At 41.0% G+C, this 21,539-nt stretch overlaps 1 long non-coding RNA gene across 1 annotated transcript in view; it reads right to left on the bottom strand.

Annotated features, from left to right (window-relative positions):
- Nucleotides 1–21,539, bottom strand: part of LOC105370802 (uncharacterized) — a 225,875-nt gene that overhangs the window by 68,733 nt on the left and 135,603 nt on the right. Inside the window, exon 2 of the long non-coding RNA NR_135680.1 lies at nt 13,606–13,756. This is a non-coding gene — a long non-coding RNA (uncharacterized LOC105370802). The remainder of the gene's footprint in view (nt 1–13,605; nt 13,757–21,539) is intronic.

Raw genomic sequence — 21,539 nt, 5'->3', positions numbered from 1 at the left:
ATAACATCAAGCCATGGAAAGGGAGCCTCAGGGGTCAGTAATGCCCTGAGCTAGCCAGGTGACACAAGCATTCAGGGGCACTGAGGGCGAGTCTCTGGATGAGATTGGAGGTATTTGGGAACAAAGACAGTAGAGACACTGCTGGTAACTGCTGTGAGTCATAACAAAATCCTTTAACATTGATTTATGCCTCAATTACATTGCCTAGGCTGTTGTTGCTTGGGAAACCATTGACTACTGAAATAATAATGCCAAAGAGCTAAATCAATTAAAAGTATCATTTTCAAAGTGATAGGGAACATCTATTAAAAGGAGGCAGGAAGGAATCAACATTTATAGAGCAACTACCATGTCCCAGCTCTGAACAAGGAGTATTATGTTATATCTCATTTAATCTTCAGAAGCCATCTATGTGAGTGCAGAAAGTAAGCTCCTTGAGGGCTGAGTTTTTGTACATTTTGTCACTGCTGTATCCCCAGCATCTAGAACAATGCCTGCAACTTAGAAAGCACTCAATAAATATTTGTTGAAAAATATGAATGAATATAATTATCTTTGTTTCTCAGATGGAAAAACTGAGATATAGATAGAATAATTAAATTGCTAAAAGTGACACAGCTTGCCAAGATTTTTTTTTTTTTTTTTGAGACAGAGTCTCAGTCCATCGCCCAGGCTGGAGTAGAGTGGCACAATCTCGGCTCACTGCAAGCTCTGCCTCCCAGGTTCACGCCATTCTCCTGCCTCGGCCTCCCAAGTAGCTGGGACTACAGGCGCCCACTACCACACCCGGCTAATTTTTTGTATTTTTTAGTAGAGACGGGGTTTCAACGTGTTAGCCAGGATGGTCTCGATCTCCTGACCTCGTGATCCGCCTGCCTTGGCCTCCCAAAGTGCTGGGATTACAGGCGTTAGCCACCGCACCTGGCCTAGCCAAGACTTTTTAAACCCAATCTGTGTATATCACAGCCTACATCCTTGGAAGTCATTTTCTGCTGCAAGAGAACTTGCAAAAAAATTCTGACTTCATTTATCATTTAAAATCTGCACACTTCCAGAAAGAATTGGAAGGACCTAGTACACGACTTGCCACACTATTTATTTCATCATTCAGAAAGTTTAGAAAATAGGTACTCCATATTTTGATCAATAAGAAAGTACTAGCTCATGAAACAGTTGTGATACAAATCTTAAGAACCATACTATATGACATAACAAATGATGAGAAGTTTGGTATAACTGGGTGTGTACCCTAGACACTTCCTGAATATAAGTGAAATCCCAGGGTTAGACTGTCTAAAGAGGGAAAAAGAAAAAAACTCCAACTTCGGCGATTCCCAAAAAAAAACAATCAAATAAAAACTACCAAGACAAATTTACCTGGAGAGAGTTAAACGGGTAAGATAAATAAAACAAAACAAAACAAAAAAACACTGAACTCTGCCCCAATCACAGGAAACTGCAGCCTAGCAAGGAGTTACGAGTAATAGCACTTTGCCTCTGAGAAGGGGCTAGGGCGTGAAGAGAGACCCCAGGTACAGCCATGCAAGATTCAATGGAAGTTGACTGGACAGGAATTCTGAGAAAAACCCTGCTGCAGCCTCAGAGCCCACACAGAATACAACTATGAGCAGTTTAACAATGAAGAAATTTGAAGTCCATGGTGTACTGAACATAACTGTAACAACAACCCAAAAAAACAGCTGGAATGTTGGCTGGATTAGCTCAAGCACCCCACAGTAAAAGCATAACTTAAGAAGAGAACTGCCCATTTTCAGGCACAAATTTTGTTCTCTTCAGTCTCACTATTTTACACACAATGTCCAGGATTTGATTTTTAAAATATGAGATACACAGAAAAGAAAACACACACACACTCATATATTGTCCGGAAATAAAGTAATCAATCAATTTTTTTGCTAAATATATATATATATATATTTTTTTTTTGAGACGGAGTCTCGCTCTGTTGCCCAGGCTGGAGTGCAGTGGCGCAATCTCGGCTCACTGCAAGCTCTGCCTCCCGGGTTCATGCCATTCTCCTGCCTCAGCCTCCCAAGTAGCTGGGACTACAGGCATGCGCCACCACGCCTGGCTAATTTTTTGTATTTTTAGTAGAGACAGGGTTTCACCGTGTTGGCCAGGATGGTCTCGATCTCCTGACCTCATGATCCACCCGCCTCAGCCTCCCAAAGTGCTGGGATTACAGGTGTGAGCCACTGCGTCCGGCCTTTGCTATTTTTTTCATACATTTTTCTTACACGTTGTTATAAACCTCACAATTCCTTTTAATTTATCTAGCTTTTCTTATACATATAATACCATGGAGTAACCAAATAGTATATGATGAGATGCATTTTTTATCAAAATATTTTAACTAATAAGTAAAGAATAAAGAGTAAAATGTAACTACCTTGCTACTCCCAATAAACTAATGGATCTGGATACTGAATATCCACCACTGCTAGTGTTGCAAAAATATAATCAGACATGATGTGCCTTTTGATGAAAGATTGAACAACCTCCTATAGTCTTGCTAGAGATTGATCATAAATCTGATAAATACTTTGCATCAGCTGCCAACTTGCAGGAAATCCAAAGTAAAGGGGAGCATGATGAACTGCACCCTAAGTATGCAATGAACAGAATCCACACTATGGGTAATGCTACAGGTCAAATGCCCCAGGTTTTTCAAATGACAAATGATAGGGAAAATAAAGTTATGAAGGGTGCACTGTAAATCAAGAGAGACTTAAAAGCAAATAAAAAATGGGTAAGACTAAATTACAGTGTCTAGGAATATAAGAAAAGTCCAGTGGGTGACCATTTTTGAAAGAGCAGGAGGCTGGATATTGTAACAGGCACATAGAAGACTTCTGGGGTCAGTGATACAGCTCTGTTTCCTAACCTGGGTGATAGTTACAAGAGAACTTGCCTCATAAATAAGTCATTAAGCCACACATTCGTATTGTGTGGCTTTCATAATCTGTGCTTTCATTTACAATAAAAAGGTTAACAAAAAAAAGCAATGTGATTTCAGAGCTAGGAATGAAAAATATTTATATAAATGTTGGAAAATGAGGATTGACAAATGATAGATCCTGAAGAAAGACTAAAATCCCCAGTAATAAATTCAAATCATGAATATAAACAAGAAAAAACAGACTCACTACTTGGGGCACAAGAATTAATGTTACAGGTTTCTAAGATAACAGAAATGAGAGGCATTCTACATTCTATCTTCACTTAAGGAGTGGGATCTTTGGTTCTACTTAACCAAAACTGTTCTCTCTGTTTAGTTCAAAGTTCCAAACTAGTAAAAAATACTCCTGAAGAATTAAAATAAACCTAATAAAAGAGGTTTATTTGGCTCACAGTTCTGCAGGCTGTACAAGAAGCATGGTGTCAGCATCTGCCTCTGGTCAGGACTTCAGGAAGCTTCCAATTATGGAAGAAGGCGAAGGGGGAGCAGGTGTGTCACATGGCAAGAAAGAAAGCAAGAGAGAGACAGCAAGAGAGATGCCAGGTTCTTTTAAACAACTAGCTCTCACGTGAATTAATAGAGCGAGCACTCACTCTTGGTTCTAGTCTTGGAACCACACCAAGCCATTCATGAGGTATCCACCCTCATGACCCAAACACCTCCCACTTTACAAAGAACTAGGGAATATTTTTACTAGTACTACTCACACCCTAAGAATTCATACTTCCAGATTTAAATAAATTACATCTCAGGGTACAAAAGTAAAGTGATCAAAGGAATGCTGTCAACCAGCTCTGAGGAGTCACAGAGAGGGACTCACTCCCCTGTTTAGAATGGCTTGTTTAGGATCTACAACACTAGGTTAAATTGGAAATTAGGAAGGTCTTTGGACAACTACTTAAACTATGCAACCAAACTTCCTGTTATATGTATTTATATATACACAATAGCGACACATGAAAGTTACTTGTTGAGAGCCAAAGCATCATAGTCACTTTCCCTAAAACAAGAGAGCTAACCATTTTTATCTTTTTCATCGTTGTAGCCACGTATTTGATTCATTAAATGCTAAATGGTGACATGAATACATACATTGTAATTCTTCAGATATTAAGCATTTAGTGCTTTTAGCTTTCATTTTCTCTATTTGACTTAAGAAACTTGATGATTCCAAACGGTTAGTTAACACCAACATTTATAGCTGTAATTATGATTTTTAAAAAATATTATTTGTATTCTCACAGTGTAGAGTAAGAGAGTAGAAGTCAGAAAACCTGGTCTCAGACTGAACTCTATCATTAACTCATTTTTTGACCCTGGTTGATTGAAGCACTGTCTAGGAAAGAATTCAGTTTTCCCATTGGAAAACATAGATCCTGGATTATATCTGAGGCTCAAAGAGAGTATTTTCACTTCAATAGAGGGCTCTGGGTTTTAACAGCTTCCCAGAGTTCCAAGGAAACAAGTTTCTAATGGTGCCATTTGGGGGCTTGTGATTGGTATTTGGCATAAGAGACCACATCCAGTTTTCTTCTCTGCTTCTGAGTTCAGGACTCCTAACCTATACAAGTCAAACCCAGGCTCCTAACAGCTTGGATTAGGAATAGATAGATCCACCAGGAGAAAGCCGTAAGGAATCATGGATATAGGAACTCTCCCTTTGAAATTGGTTTATTTAAAGCCCACATGTTCGCTTTTCACTCATCAACGTGGCAAAATTACAAAGAAGGACAATGCCTGGGACTGATATAGCAATGGCTGATGATTCACTGTCATATACTGTTGGTGGGAGAGCCGAATTGGTGAAATTATTTTGGATGTCAATTTGGCAGTATCTATTGAAAGTTTACATGTCATGTCCTCTGACTCAGCAATTTCGATTATAGGAATTTACCCTATTTTAAAAAGCTACATATGGACATAAAAATATGTACGTGAGAGTAGGTTTTCTGGCCTATGTATAATAGTGAAAAGCTGAAAGGAACTCAAATGCAAATCAACTGAGGATGAGTTAAATAAAATTCAGTATAGCAAATAATAAAATTCCATTCACATTAAAAATAATGAGAAGAATCTATATATACTATATTAGTCTGTTTGTGTTGCTATAAAAGAATACCTGAGGCTGGATAATTTCTAAAGAAAAGCAGTTTATTTGGCTCACAGTTCTGCAGGCTTTACAAAAAGCATGGTGCCAACATCTGCCTCTAGTCACGACCTCATGAAGCTTCCAATCATGGAAGAAGGCAAAGGGGGAGCCGGTGTGTCACATGGCAAGAAAGAGACAGCAAGAGAGGTACTAGGCTCTTTTAAACAACTAGCTTTCATGTGAACTAGTAGAGCAAGAACTCACTCTTGGTTCTAGTCTTGGGACAAAACCAAGCCATTCATGAGGGACCCGTCCCCATGACCCAAACACCTCCCACCAGGCCCCACCTCCAACACTGGGGATCAATTTTCAACATGAGATTGGGAGGAGACAAATATCCAAACCATATCATATACTGATATGATGATGTTCATAAAAAATTGTTATTAAATGAAAATTGCAAGTTGCCAAACAAAATGTAAAGCATGGCTCTACCCACAAAACTGTAAGTGTTTATGTAGATATCTATACATATTCATGCATGTGTGTGTGTGTGTGTGTGTGTGTGTGTGTGTGTGTGTGTTACAAAAGATTACATAGACATAGAGAAAGTCTGAAAGACTAGGCACTGCAGCGGCCATGACAATGTGAGGCTGATCCCAGCCAATGAATAAATGCAGTAAGAATACAAAAGCAGGTCCATTTCTGGGAGAGGCACAACTCCTGACACAAGACTTTGCCTCAAAGTCTGTGTCTTTCTCAGTGAAACTTTCTCAAAACTGCATTACTATCTAAGACCTTCCTTCCTTCTCTCTCTCTTCACAGGCCTCAGGTCTGCATTTCAGTCAGATGACTCTCCTCCTCTCCCCTGACTCACTCTTCATTGTCCTTACAGGTGTTTTCATTAATAAATCTCTTGCATGTCTAACCAGATTGGCATCTGCTTCTCGGAGTACTCAGACTAAAACAAAGCTGACAGTGGTTGCCTCAGAGAAGTGAAAGTATACGTAAATGTTTGCTGCAAGCATTATTACTTTTGCAAATTATTTTTCTTAAAGATCCAGAAATAATAGGAACAGCAATATAAAATGTGTGTGTTTAAAGTGAGTCTGTTTTTGTCACGAGCACACAGGAACATATGCACAGACTCACATACAGGTATTCTGGTACTCTATCAACAGAACAGGTAATGACTCCATCTAATGTTTGAACAGCACTTTATAGTTTTTATTCTCATTAGACCTCTCCCGTGACCTTGGCAAATAGGTAGATCTTCATGTTATGAACCTCTTTTTACAGCAGAAGAACTTCAGCTCTCTGAATCTTAGACCTCCTAATCCAACTCATTCTTGGTTCTAGTCTTGAAACAGCACTAAGCCATTCATGAGAGATCCACCCTCATGACCCAAACACCTCCCACTAGGCCAGTGTCCTTTCCCATTCACTAGGTTGCCTCTCTGTCCTGAAGAGCCCAGGGAACCTGGATGTGAAGCTACACCCCTAATGAACCAGCATGCAGCAGCTACACCCCTAATGAGCCAGCAGGCTGTACACAAAGCTCACTTTGACTTGGCGGCTCTGGGCAAATGTCCTGCATCAGGCCCACCCTTCTTGTCTGCTTGGGTCTGTTTGTGTTAGAGGATGTACTAACCACGGGGACCATCACAGCTCTGCAGAGTTTTGAAAAATGTAATTATTAGACAAGATGAATTTTTAGCAAGCAGGTTCTCATAGCTCTGTTGAAAAGTACTGGTACTTTAAATCTTTTCTTAAACTATTCCTCTCCAGGTGGTTAGCACCAAGTTGAAAGAAAGCCAGGCTGGAATTCCTTTCTTGAGCACACGGTAAACAGACATCACACAGTCCTCTATTTACCAGGGCAGGGATTGCCAACTGACTGTGGTCTGGAAACCTTATCTGCTTTGTTCCCTTCCCATTGCCCCAGCATTTGCAGAAGAGGAACAAACTTCTAGGTTCCTGGACTTGCCTGAGAACCAGGCCTGCAAACATGCACCGCCAGCTCCAGATACTCTAGGCATTGATTTGTGAATATTGTTATCATTATTATGGTCATTTTAACATTGGCAAATTTGGTCCAAAAACATATGGCTTTTCAAAAATTAATGTTTGTTGAGTAGTTACTACGTGTCAAGCACTGTTCTCAACACTTGAAACTTGAATTCTCACAACCTCCCAAAAATCGGATATTATTGTCCTGAGGCAATATCAAAAAACCTGAGACCAGAGAGGTTAAGTGACTTGTCCAAAGTCACACAGCAATAAGTAGTAGAGCCAAAGTTTGAACCAAGGCCATGTGATTTCAAGTAAACTCGTTTCATAAAACTACTTATCATCTGAGAAAAGCCAACTCTTAAAAAAGTAGTTTTCTCCCATGTATGTTTTCTGATTTCTCTTTCTCTTCCCCACCCCAAGAGAGGCAGCTGTTCATCTTCTTTTCCCATTATCTCTTTCACAGTGATTTTTTTTTTTTTTTACTCTATGGAAATCTCGTTCTCAAGGCATACTTGAATTGAGACATAATCTACATTCTGACTGTACCCTGAGAAAGGGAGGCAGGTGTTGACTTGGCATTGAGGGCAGACCTGATTCAGACAAGGCGAAAGGAGAGACCAAATGACTTAGGAGGAAACAGAAAGGATTCCACGATGGCACAGAGCCTGGGACAAGCTGAACCAGGTTATGACAGAGTAAGTACTTGTAAGTTCTCCTAATGCTGTTTTAAACTAATAACTCAAGATTTTAAAACTATTTTGAGATCTATGTGCTATCATCTCTAGAAGTGGCCTAGGAAAATGGACATAAGAAGTTGGAGAGTGGGCCAGGTGTGGTGGCTCACGCCTGTGTAATCCCAGTACTTTGGGAGTCTGAGATGGGTGGATCACCTGAGTTAAGGAGTTTGAGACGAGCCTGGCCAACATTATGAAACCCTCTCTCTACTAAAAATACAAAAAATTAGCCGAGCATGGTGGTGGGCGCCTATAATCTCAGCTACTCAGGAGGCTGAGGCAGGAGAATCTCTTGAACCCAGGAGGTGGAGGTTGCAGTGAGCCAAAATCGCGCCACTGCACTCCAGCCTGGGCAACAAGAGCAAAACTGTCTAAAAAACAATAATAATAATAATAATAATAATAATAATAATAATAATAATAAAGAAGTTAGGGAGTGGAACGGGGGGGTGGAAAACTACAGCATCATAAATGAGAAGTAGAAGATAATTTCAGTGTGGGAAATGGAATTTTTCTTTACTGGAAGGTAGAAGATTTTTCAAAAATTATAGGCATTGTAAGTAGAATCAAGAGCTAGCACCACCAAATCAATCATACACCTATTCAGAAGGCTGCACTAATTTTCCCCAGCCACCCTTCTTGGAGAAGACCAAACATCTGATGTCTTCTGCCGAGGAGACAGAAAACGAAAGACTGCCTGCACCAATACCTACCACCTCCAACCTAAGAAATTCTTCAAGTCAGAATCCCAAGGGGTGAATAATCATCCGATTTTGATGTTAGTTCTCCATTCTTTCCAGAGCAAGGAACCATCTGAGAGAGGAGGGGTCATTCCTCTGATCAGGAGGACAAGAAGCCAAACAGAAGCTGAAGAGTGTTCTCTAAGGACTCTGAGACCAGTGGATGGCCTAGCTAGCACAATCGTGCCTCCCTATGCACTCACTCATGTAGCATCAGCTATGAGCATGGCGTCAGAATGTTGGGACAAGCTAAGTACTTGGGGCAAATAGTGCCAGCTGCTGGCCTGAGCACCCATAGGAAAAAAGCAAGAAGAATGCCAGGTAACATTGCACCCAGGCTTTGATGGGTCACTAGGGTCAGTAGCCCAGGAGGAAGTAAAGAAGGGAGACATGAAAGTCAATGGCTAACGTGGAGATAGCCGCTTTATTTCTTCTCCTCCCAAAGACACAAACCTGCAAGGAGGTTTGTGATAACTCCTGGGGACTGTTTTTGATATTTAGCATGCAGGACCTTCTTGGCTCTGCTCTGCACTAAAATGGCATCCCTGGATGACTAGAAAAAAAGAAATGTGTACCAGGGAAATTCAGCGATAGCCTAGTGAAGCCAAGGACCAGGGATGAGTGGTTCAAAATTTTGCAAGTTTCTAAATGACCCAAGAAATTAATAAGAAGAAAATCATTTCACATGACCACTCCTGCCCCTCCAGCTTTGGTTTGTTTTGGTTTGGTTTTCTCAGATGGGGTTAACAGTGTTATCTCTAATTTGGTTATCCATAATAAAATCATTTGTGTTCTTTTAAAGGGCAGGGTCTCTCTGGAGGAGACAACTCCCTTCACAGCCTGAATAGTGGAAATTTTGCCTACATGGGGACAGAAGCCAACTTGTGAACCATTTTAGGGGCTGCAATGGGATGTGTCTCAACATAAGCATTTCAGATAACAACTGATTCACCTGCCCCTGCCTGTACTTCCCTGACACTGTCACAGCTGAAAGGCTCCTTCCTTCCCTCCCTTTCACCATCCTTGCCTCAGAATGTCCACTCCTTTACTGCTGTGGCCCCAGCTAAGCTAGCATACTTTCTTAACCATGAAATTTTTCAGAGTAGTCTTCAATTTAAATATTCAATTGTTCCTATAAATCATAAAATTATGCTGGAAGTTGCATTATGTCCACATCTAAATTTTGTCTCTTTTATTCCCTCTTAGACCCAGAAACAACAAAAAAACTTCTTGCCAGACTTTTTGTCCCAATTTTTATTTAAAAATAAACTATTCATCCATTACCAAAATATCTAGGTCTTGTGCACCAAAAATTCACGTGAATGCCATAGTTTCTTCTCTCCAAACCCATGATAGATACTCTTAGTGGAAGACAGAACTCAGAATCCTCAAAGCAATATAATCTTCAAGGCTAAGAGTCATTGTCCATCAATTATTCATTTGTTCTAACTTTTGAAAATTTATTTATACTAAGATTTTATTGTCTGACAGATTAATGTAGTGCCCCTTGCAGGTGTTTCTTACCTAGATATCTGTATGTCAAGATATCTGTATTTTAGATCTCATCCTGCACAGTAAGTGCATTTTAAAAAGAAGACACCTGTGTGGATGTGGATAGTCTCTTTATCCAAGTACTGCACGTCTAACTATAAAATTTCAGAAGTTCAAGTAGATAGGCAAAACAGAGCTGAGGGCTCTCCTGTGTCTTCAAACAGAATAAAGTGGGAAACCCCAATTCCACATGTGCCCAAGACAATCCCAGTGTGTAAGTAAAACAAGTTCTTCAAATTGGGACATTGTATGTCTCAGAGAAATAAAGTTACTAATTCATGAATCCACCTCTTATCTATTATAGAATACCAAAGATGTAAGGTACTCGACATTCACCAGGACTACCTAGTTCTCTCTGGTGGCCAGAAATGTTCAGAAAGAATGGAAATGTACTCCTACTCCCTACATATTATCGCACTGTCAAAAATGTGTGCACACATGAATCATGCCCATAAAAGATGATTTGCAGATGTATTTATTATAACTGAGCTATTTCAGAAAATGTTTGGTGTCTAGGGGATTATTTTAAGGATGATAATTAGCATGCATGCACCACCTTCAGAAGTGCTTCTGTATTAGCAATGCTGTTTAATTTCTGAATTTATAATGTCACATTTTATGACTTCAAATAAAGATTGAGACAAGACTCAAAGTTGGCTGCCACTTCTAAAAAGCATCACTGAACTGTCTGAGGACAGTTTAAAGGGGTAATAATAGTAACATGAAACTTTTTGTTCAATTGCTGTAATTTTCCATTATAGCCCCAATTTCAAATATTGAATTTCAGGCTAGAGAGGGTAGCCTGGTTCCTTAGTAAACTTATAGAGTGGGTGATTTTTGTAATTTAAATAAAAAGTGTAGTAGACTGTTTTCCTTTGAACACAGACAAAAAAGGCTGGTTGCCAATTCTGGACTGTATTAAATGACTGTAAACCATCAAGATGGTATATTCATAAGCTTTTTCGTTTTCATCATAATAATGAGAGGTGAAGCCAGCTGGACTTCCTGGGTCGAGTGGGGACTCAGAGAACTTTTCTGTCTTACAAGTGGTTTGTAAAATGTACCAATCAGTGCTCTGTAAAAACACACTAATCGGCACTCTGTACCTAGCTAGAGGTTTGTAAAATGCACCAATCAGTGCTCTGTAAAAATGCACCAATCAGCCCTCTGTAGCTAGCTAGAGGTTTGTAAAATGGACCAATCAGCACTCTGTAAAATGGACCAATCAGCACTCTGTAAAATGGACCAATCAGCAGGACATGGCTGGGGACGAATGAGGGAATAAAAGCTGACCACCCCAGCCAGCAGTGGCAACCCTCTCGGATCCCCTTCCATGCTGTGGCAGCTCCGTTCTTTCGCTCTTCACAATAAATCTTACTGCTGCTTACTTTTTGGGTCCGTGCCACCTTTAACAGCTGTAACACTCTCCGCGAAGGTCCACGGCTTCATTCTTGAAGTCAGCGAGACCACGAAGCCACCAGAAGGAACAAACACTGGACACAATAAGAGTACAAAAATGTAAAGCAAACTCTTTTTTGTGCTTTGACTCCCAACTTGGAAGTATAGAGGTAATCACAAAATCTAGGTCCTATTGCTCAGCACACAGAAAGCCAATCACTGAGACAATGAGTATTGCCATGGAAGAAGGATTTATTTGGGTGCTACAGCTGAGGAAAATAAAATATCAGTCTCAAATCCATCTCCCTGACTGTCTAAAACTGAGTGTTTATATAGCAGGGAAAAACTGTAACTGCATGCAGGTAAACAGGAATTAGGGAGGAGTAAGGAAATCATGAGCAATGAGGGCTTTGGCTTCCAGTTGTCTGGATGTGGTCGTCTGGCGAGTTTCAGTTCCTTCATACTATCTGGGAGGCCTGATGATTGGTTTCCTGAGAAAACTCAGATAAGACAAATACAACTTTCTCAAGTTTTATGACGGGGGTGGGGGGAGTCAATTTCTATGTTTATTCAAAAAAAACCATAAACAACAGTTCTATGGGACAATTGAGCTGGTTTCAATTTTATTTTTTTAAAAGTGTTTAAGTTAAATGAATGCTTGATGAAGGAATTAGACCTCCAAGGAAAATCAATGGTTTGCTAAAGTTCGCCCAGCTAGCTAGAGTAGAACTTGGACTTCAATCCAGGCTTGTGAATCTTAAAAAAGATTGCCAAGGGGTTGCAAATGTTAATATTGTAGCAACACAAGAAAGGCATTTTTTTATATGTTCTAAGCCATCTTCACACATTGAGTCCCAGAACTAATGGCCTCCCCAAGTCAAGAATAATTTCATAGGCTAGGTACAAGATCTCTTTTGCTCTTTTTAAAGAGAGGTTTTTGGGTTTGTTTTTGGCTCATTGCTTCTTTTTATGCCTTCTGAAGAACTAGGTTGAAGAACTCCTCCACAGGAACTAGGAGCCAGGACACCTTTGTTTAAAACATTGCTGTGGAGGAAATAAAACTAGGGGTGTTACCAGCTGCTCTGAAGTTATGCCTCTCAAAGGTATGTGATCTGTTTCCACAGAGCTCAGCTCACCGGTTTGCAGAACAATTTGGTACTTTCATCGGGAAGAGTGATTACTACATTAGTAGTTGCTGGAAACAACTTCTATTGTCCTGATTATTCTTTGTCAAGAATTCCTTGTAATCAGATCAGTGAAACATTGTTATCCTAGAGCAGTCCCCTCAGGATCACTCACCCTGTTATCTGTGAGCTTGTGCAGAGGAGGGTTTAGCCTATACTGTTTGAACACAGAAATACAAGTCATCCAAATTGCTTCAGTTGTTCCTGCTGAAAATGACATCCTTTTACCCATTTCCTCCACCCACTGAACCCAACTATCAGCTGAACAATATTGAAGTGCGAAGTCAGTGGGCCATGTAGTCGGGTTAATATGTACATGTTCGGTTAGATAAGCAAGCAGCATGCCCAGGAAACCTAAAAGTATCTTTCATTCCCAAACAGCAATGGTAACAAAGATGATGGTTAGAGGAGAAAAAAGTTATTAAGTTATCAGAGGTGGTTGGTCAGAAAGGCTGTGCTTCCTGAGTAGTCAAAGATTGTCCATGTGACTCAACTGAAACAAAGAGAAGCAGCATTTCAGAACACTTCTAAGACTTCCTGGAGAGCCGAATAAGGACAAAAGGCCAAGGATACGCTAGGTCAAGCAATCAGAACTGAGATTTGGGTCCTAAATTCCACACTTTGATACTGTGTTTGCCTAATGCACACTTGCATCTGTGCACTACTTGTCTTTCAGCACACCATGAGAGATGTCCATCTTGTTCCATTCATGACATCCTCAAGACCACAGTTTAGCAGGTTTTGTTGTACTCTAAGAGCCTGCATGGGGAATATGTTGTTTTGTTAAGACTTGACTTTGGAGGGTGGAGGAGCTCAAAGGAAAGTGAGTTCAGTTTCCAGGCCAAGGCCAGAGGGAAGAGCTTCTCACTTGGAAGCAGCAAAGGAAGAATCTCTGGCTGGGCCACCAGAGCCTTACCCAGTGAATTAATGTCATGGCCCGAGGAGGCCAAGGCCAGTGAACCAGCCATCTCTCACAGGTTGGTGATCCAGTTAGTTCCATCCATCACACCATTTATTTGCTCCAGAGAAATGTTTGGCAACTCTTTGTTGTATAGTTGGGCATCCCCCTGCCAAAAAAGAACATGAACTTGACTCTGTAATCCAAATCATTCAAATTGCAGAGGCACAAGCTTTACCCATCAGATGTGCGTGAGCAGGTTAACCATGACTGGCTTGGATCCCTGAAACATGCCAAGAATGATAATAGAATAATAGTAGCAAACACTTATTTGGCATTTATTAGATGTCAGACACTGTTCTAAGCACTTTCATATATTAACCTCTCTGGGCCTCACTTATCCCATATGTAAAATGAGACTGATAATAGTACCTGTGCCCTTGAGTTATTATAAGGAGTAAATGGGTTATAAAATGTGCCCTGTTTAACACCTTTCTCAGGCCCGTCATATGGCAGGTGGGGATGTTACTACTTTTTTTTTTTTTTTGCAGACAGAGTCTTACTCTGTTGTCCATGCTGGAGTACAGTGGTGTGATCTTGGCTCACTGCAATCTCCTCCTCCCGGGTTCAAGCAATTCTCCTCCCTCAGCCTCCTGAGTAGCTGGGACTACAGGTGCACACCACCACGCCTGGCTAATTTTTTGTATTTTAGTAGAGACGGGGTTTCACCACATTGCCCAGGCTGGTCTTGAACTCCTGAGCTCAGGCAATCTGCCTGCCTTGACCTCCCAAAGTGCTGGGATTACAGGCATGAGCCACTGCACCAGGCCATTATTACATATTAAGAAATCAAGCAGTTTGATTCTAGAATCTTGGCTTTTAGCCACTTATATTAACCACGTGCCTAACTTCTGTAAACTTGACATTTTCATATCTGTCCTACATGCATATGTCAAACACACCTCATTCTAGACAACCCAATAATATGTCTCAGTCACGTTGCCTTGTCCTCCTGCCTCTCTTGTCAACTGACCCCCCCCACTCCCTTTACCTGGAGAAGTCCCCCTCCCAGGTTATGCTTTTCAAATAAAAAACAACCAACCCGGAGCTCACAGCCCCAAACCACCTCTTACTGGGCTCTCACACTCCAAGCTACTACACCCCTGCCCTAATTACCCTATGGCCAAATACCAGACAGGTAGGGATAGCCTCTATCCCTCAGAGCCCATTGAAATTATTAAACTAGCCAATCCTAAGTCAGTTCACCTTGCCTCACCCAAGCTTTTCCCAAGGAAAACAACAAAGGCTCTTGCCCACTGTTCTCCCCTCTTCCTCTGCCTCCTGACTCATCCCAGGGCTTCCCCATGAGGCCCCCGTGGTATGGCATGTCCCTTCCTCTTGGGAACTGCAAGTGATAAACTATCTTTTCGGGTTTGTTTGTTTGTTTGTTTGTTTGTTTGTTTGTTTTTACATAATTTTATTATTTTTTAAAAGAGCATCCTAGTAAATTTCTCCATATCTGCACAAGTATTTTTTTGGATAGATTACCAGATGTGGACTTCACAGCTCAATGGTATATGAATTTCAAATTTTGGTAACTTACCTAAAACTTTACTTTCCAAGACATGATATCAATATATAGCTTCTCTGCCCTTTACCATTAATCTATACTAGATTATTAATTTTTAAAATCTTTACTGTTAGCTGAGAGAATATGGATAAGTAAATTTAAAGTATATTAATGTGATGTAATACTATATCTGAGCTAAAATGTGTCCGGAATTGGTGGGTTCTTGGTCTCACTGACTTCAAGAATGAAGCCGCGAACCCTTGCAGTAGTGTTACAGCTCTTAAGGTGGCGCGTCTGGAGTTGTTCGTTCCTCCCAGTGGGCTCGTGGTCTTGCTGGGCTCAGGAGTGAAGCTGCAGATCTTCGCAGTGAATGTTACAGCTCATAAAAGCAACGTGGGCCCAAAGAGTGAGCAGTAGCAAGATTTATCGCAAAGAGCGAAAGAACAAAGCTTCCACAGTGTGGAAGGGGACCCGAGCGGGTTGCCCCGTTTCTTTTTTTTTTTTTTTTTTTTTTGAGATGGTGTCTCGCTCTAGTTGCCCCAGCTGGAGTGCAACAGCACGATGTCAGCTCACTGCAAACTCTGCCTCCCTAGTTCAAGTGATTCTCCTACCTCAGCCTTCTGAGTAGCTGGAATTACAGGCACCCGCCACCATGCCCAGCTAATTTTTTGTATTTTCAGTAGACATGGGTTTTTGTCATGTTGGCAGGCTGGTCTTGAACTCCTGACCTCAGGTGATCCACCCACCTCAACCTCCCAAAGTGCTGGGATTACAGGCGTGAGCCACCACGCCCGGCCATAAACTATCTTTTCAATGGCAATTGCCTCTTGATCTGTTGGCCTTACTATACTCAAATTTTCTATTGATACACATGTTGAAAAATACCACTGTACCCAGCAAAAATAAGTTCCTATGAATCAGACCAGGAATGCCTGCTGTGTACTCAGTTCAATTCATCTCTGAAGCCTTTCTTGCTTCCCATGATTACTGGGTGGAATGCCAAAGAATCTACTTTTGTATGAGAAGAGCCTGGGGATACTTCACTAAATAGAGGTCCATATCCTTGGCCTCATCTTATATTGGTGTTTCCTTCTCACAGAGCAGGTAGGACTCCTGTTTTAAAGTACAGTACTACTAAGGTTGCTGTACATCTTCAAAATACACAAAGATATAAAACATGCAAACATTCCTGTTCTAGGAAAAGAAACTATTAAAATTTTGAGATTTCCCACTGGATGTATTTGGGTTAGAAATTCTTCTTGCTTAGGACAAAAAACCAAACACCGCATGTTCTCACTCATAGGTGGGAATTGAACAATGAGAACACATGGACACAGGAAGGGGAACATCACACTCTGGGGACTGTTGTGGGGTGGGGAGAGGGGGGAGGGATATTATTAGGAGATATACCTAATGCTAAATGACGAGTTAATGGGTGCAGCACACCAACATGGCACATGTATACATATGTAACAAACCTGCACATTGTGCACATGTACCCTAAAACTTAAAGTATAATAATAATAATAAATAAATAAATAAATAAAAACATATGTGACTGAGGTTACATAGCAAATAAATGACAGAGCTAGAAAAAAATAAAATAAAAAATAAAATAAAATGATGATTAATGGAACAACGAGTAGACCTAATGACCTATCCTGTACATTTTGATTTAGGCAGATGATTAAACTAAATGGTCTCAGATAAAAAATAAATAGTATTGAAAAGAAATGATCAAAATGTGATTCTTACAGTTCTTCAAACTTTGTAATAGAAGAATAAACATTAAAGAAATTACATCAAAAAAAAAAAAAGAAATTCTTCTTGCTTGATACTTACCTGGATGGGTAGAAATGAATCTAAAAACCAGAGGGAAAAACCTACTCCTTGGTATCCTACATAAGGCAAAGGAAAGTTATGATTGAATAGATGAAAAGCCTAAGGAGGGTATTAAACAGGGTCAGAATGTTACTCCACTTTCTTCCAGCATAACCATCGGACAGCCCCCACAAAGGCTGGGTCTCCACAATGGGCTACAGACAAAATCCCCAGAGTAGATGCCAATATGCAAACCAGCTCAAAATCCCAGAAGTGCTTGAGCCATGTTCCAAATTCAGAGGAACTCGTTATATAAGGAATTATCTGACAAAACAGATAATGTCTGAAGATAATGTGACATAGTATTTGATAGGAAACAAAACCTGAATAAAATCCTTTGGCTACTCTCTGACTCTAGATGTCTTAAAATGTACATCTCCTTGTAATCAGAAGAATCAAAGTACAGTCACGCCTAAGGAAGGAGGTCCTCCTTGTATTGACAGCCATTGAGACAGCCTGCCTGTGGATACCTGGTGCAGAATGACACACTAGCGAATTTTAAAATCATAGTATCACTTCAAGGCAATTTGCTAAAATGAAACATTGAGACCCCACCACATCTAACTCGCTTCCTCATTTAAGTAAATTGTATTTATGAGAAAATGCTTTATTTGCATCAATGGCATATGCATTGGATGCCAGATTTATCTCAATTCAAATATGCATTTTAACATTGTAAACATATGGTTACAATTTCCGTGGGGCTGTTTAGGAACTTTTTATGGATCAAATCCTTAGTCCTGACATCCCAGCCAGGTTCAGAGATTTTTTTTAACTGTTGCAAAGCTCTTTACTTCCTAAAGGCTCATTTATAACAGGAATTTGGAAGTGTTTATATGCTCTTTGGTGTTGTCTATAATTACTTTCTCAGCTGAAGTGGTAGTAAGGAGGGAGATCTAGATGGAGAAAGGAGATGAGAAGAGGCTGAATAAATAAATAAAAGTGTCTTATGGGGAATCTCTTTCATCTCTCTGGTCTTGTAATTTTCTTTTTTTTCCCCAACTATAATTGAAAAAATGAATGCCCAAGTTCTACCACAGATATTAAAAGGAAAATGGCTGGGTTTTTTTACGTGGGTGTCCTAGGCTTGAGGTTCGAATAACCACTATGTAAAGGGCCATGTCCAGAGAGGAGATTGGAAACAGCGATAACTGAGTTTTGTCTCCATGGTCACTTAGACACACTTGAGAAAACTATTTCACTTTACCCCAGAGATTATGAAAAATAGCTTTTTTAGCCTTCCATTATGTGTACGTTGTATGAATGAGTTCAAGATAGGGTACTCGAACGCCTGTAATCCCAGCACTTTGGGAGGCCAAGATGGGCAGATCACAAGGTTAGGAGATCAAGACCATCCTGGCTAACATGGTGAAACCCTGTCTCTACTAACAATACAAAAAATTAGCCGGGCATGGTGGTGGGCGCCTGTAGTCCCAGCTACTCGGGAGGCTGAGGCAGGAGAATGGCGTGAACCTGGGAGCCGGAGCTTGCAGTGAGCCGAGATCTCGCCACTGCACTCCAGCCTGGGGGACAGAGCAAGACTCCGTCTCAAAACAAAAACAAAAACAAAAACAAAACAAAAAAAAAACAGGTTACTTGAAAGTAAAATTGCTATTCTGAGGGTTACTGAGATAATACTCGAAACTTGCACTATGTGATGTACCTTCATGAGGAAAAGCTTTTTGTAATCCAGAAACTCTGGGCTCAGACTTAAGTGGTATTTGGCTAAAAATTCACCAAACTTGAAATCAGTGAAGACTTCTGGGACAGTGGTCTTTCTTTCTTTTCTTTGTCTTTCTTTTCTCTTTCTTTCTTTTCTCTTTCTTTCTCTTTCTTTCTTTCTTTCTTTCTTCCTTCCTTCTCTTTTTCTTTTTCTTTCTTTCCTCTTTCCTTCTTTCCTCCTTCCTTCCTTCTTTTCTTTTCTTTCTTTCTCTTCTTTCTTTTCTCAGAACATTCCATTCTGCCTGACAGAGCTCAGATATCTCACTCCTCTCACTACATTTGCCCACCCCCTGGATTGCATCTACCTACAAGGTGCGGAAACACAGTGAGGAGCCCTGAACAGCAAGCAGGCAGATGGGAACCACTAGGCAGCAATCTCTGACGACACACTGCATTAAAATGTGGCTACTGCTTACAATAACCACACGGCACTTTTTCATTCACGCATCTGTGATGCTTATAAAGGTATGATTAACATTTTTAATGATGCAAATGTTTATATATTGTATATAAACTATATATTACTATAGAAGATTTTCAGGTATGTTTTTAAATTTTAAAAGCAAGCTTCTGAACCATGGATATAATATCCTACCCTTTTTTTTTAAGGCTAGGAGTTACTTATATACACGTTTTCTATGTATCAACTATTACTGGAAGCATACACAAGAAACTGATAACATGGTTGCATCAGGGAAAGAGAACTGGGCAACTCATGGTCAGAGATGGGAGAGAGGCTTACTTTTCAGGATATACCATTTTGTCCTGTTTATCATCTACACATATATTCATAAACCAGAAATTAATAGAATATACATACAAATAAAACAATAATTCATATAGTCTAGTCTCAGAACAGGATCATCTCCAAAAAACGCAGCAGACAAAAGAAGTAATTTTGGAAAAACTCAAGTGTTTTATTTGTATTTATTGAATACATAGAGGTGGCTTGTTTCTCTCTTCCACTTCCCTTCCCACCCCATTGCCTTTATCCCCTTTGTTTTGAAATTCTCTACAAAACTCCACTCCCAAGCCTAGAGCCCTGCACCTCTATCCTTTCCCTCCTTCTCTTTTCTCCAGATTTTACATGATAAATCCACACTAAGCTGGACTGTGAACTCAGGATCCCACTCACAGGGCAGGGAGGGGAGAAAACTGGACAAACCCGGAAACCTATTTAATGAGGCAGGGAATGGAACAGCAGAGGCACAGCTGACTGGTTAACTTTTAATCCCATTTCACAATGTTTATTGACCAATCAGGAGAATTTGACAACTGCAGCTCTGGAAAGCTGGAGTCAGGATACCTGGGCACAACCTGCATTGTCTTCCCATGAGGAATGGCCTTGCCAGTAGTGCATCTAGCTAAAGCACCAGGAGAGCTCTGTGTTCATAAATACACCCTTAAATGCTACACATCAAAAATGGTGAGACATAAACATACATACTTATGTTTATATATTATGACATTGTGATGCATAGTAAGAAATGTGTGTTTTGGCTTTCATCCCCATTTCCCAAAATGGAGCTCCTAAACCTTTGTAATTTGCTGACTGATAGGGGTACTAGATGCATCTTTTGTTCTAATGTTTGGTCTTTGACCCAGGTTCCTGACATAATGCTCCTAACCCCTTGGAATTTACTAGGAGACAGGAGCATCTTTTGTTCTAATGAGGTGACTCTCTCGGTGGAGTCCTGGATGGGGGCTGATCACCAGAAGAACCCAGCCGTGTTTAGAAGCTTGGAGCTTTCAGCCCCACCCCCGGTCCTCTAGAAAGGGGAGAGAAGCTGAAGAATGAATTAATAATCAATCATGCCTACATGATGAAGCCTCCAAATGAGACGGGAGAGTTCCCTTGACCCCTTCACGGGACTTGTGACAGGGGTGTGGCTCACTTACTCGGCTGCCGCCCAGCTCAAACCCCTTGTGGGAGTGGGAGCAGGCAGGTGAGCGGGTGCCGAGGCTGGGCAAGCACTTTTGGGCTCCGGCCCCAAAGCAGCATCTAGGGGTGTGTTACAATTAATGCTGTTTTAGCACTTGCCATCCACAGATGGCTAAGTGTGAACCAGCTCAGTGGAGAGTGAGTGCGACAGCCTTTTACACCCTGCCCTCTTGGTACTCAGGCTCTTGTTCAGCATGCAGGAAGAACCAGGTCACACAAACAGTTTGAAAGGTGATGAATGTGGAGGATTTTATTAAGTGGTGGAAGTGGCTCTCAGCAGAAGGTGGGCTGTGAAGGGGATTGTGTGGGAAGAAAATGGTCCTTCCCTGAAGCCCAGCCATCTCCGGCCAGGCTCCTCTCTGAAGTCATGCCATCTGAGGTTAAGTTGTGTCTCTCCCTAGTCTCAGATGCTCAGTTGCTTCTTCTCCTCTCAATGTTCAGCTGCTTGCTTCTTTGCCAGCTGAGGTCTGGGGTTTATATGGGCACAGGATGGGGGGCAGGGAGGGCCAAAAAAGGCAACATTTGGGCAGGAAACAGGGATAACTGTTTTCACCTAGGGCTGCAGTTTCCAGACTTGAGGGTGGGGCCTTTCCCAGGCAACCACCCTCTTCTACCCAATATTTCCCCACCTCCTGTCCATATCACAAAGAAATCCTGAAGTATGGGGTTCAGAGAGCCTCTGGGCTTGTAAATAAGAAGGCATCCATGTGCTGGGTGGGTGGTGCATCCCAACTCCACAGGGAGGGAATTTGCTGTGCTCAGGATCCTTCCAAACCTCGTCCTGTGTGCCTCTTACCTATCCCTTATCATATCCTTGATTAAGTAATAAGCCAGAAA

The sequence above is a fragment of the Homo sapiens genome, chromosome 15 (genome assembly GCF_000001405.40).
Source record: "Homo sapiens chromosome 15, GRCh38.p14 Primary Assembly".
Taxonomy (NCBI): Eukaryota; Metazoa; Chordata; class Mammalia; order Primates; family Hominidae; genus Homo; species Homo sapiens.
Note: the sequence above shows the minus strand (reverse complement) of the source record. Positions and strands in the feature narration are given on the sequence as shown.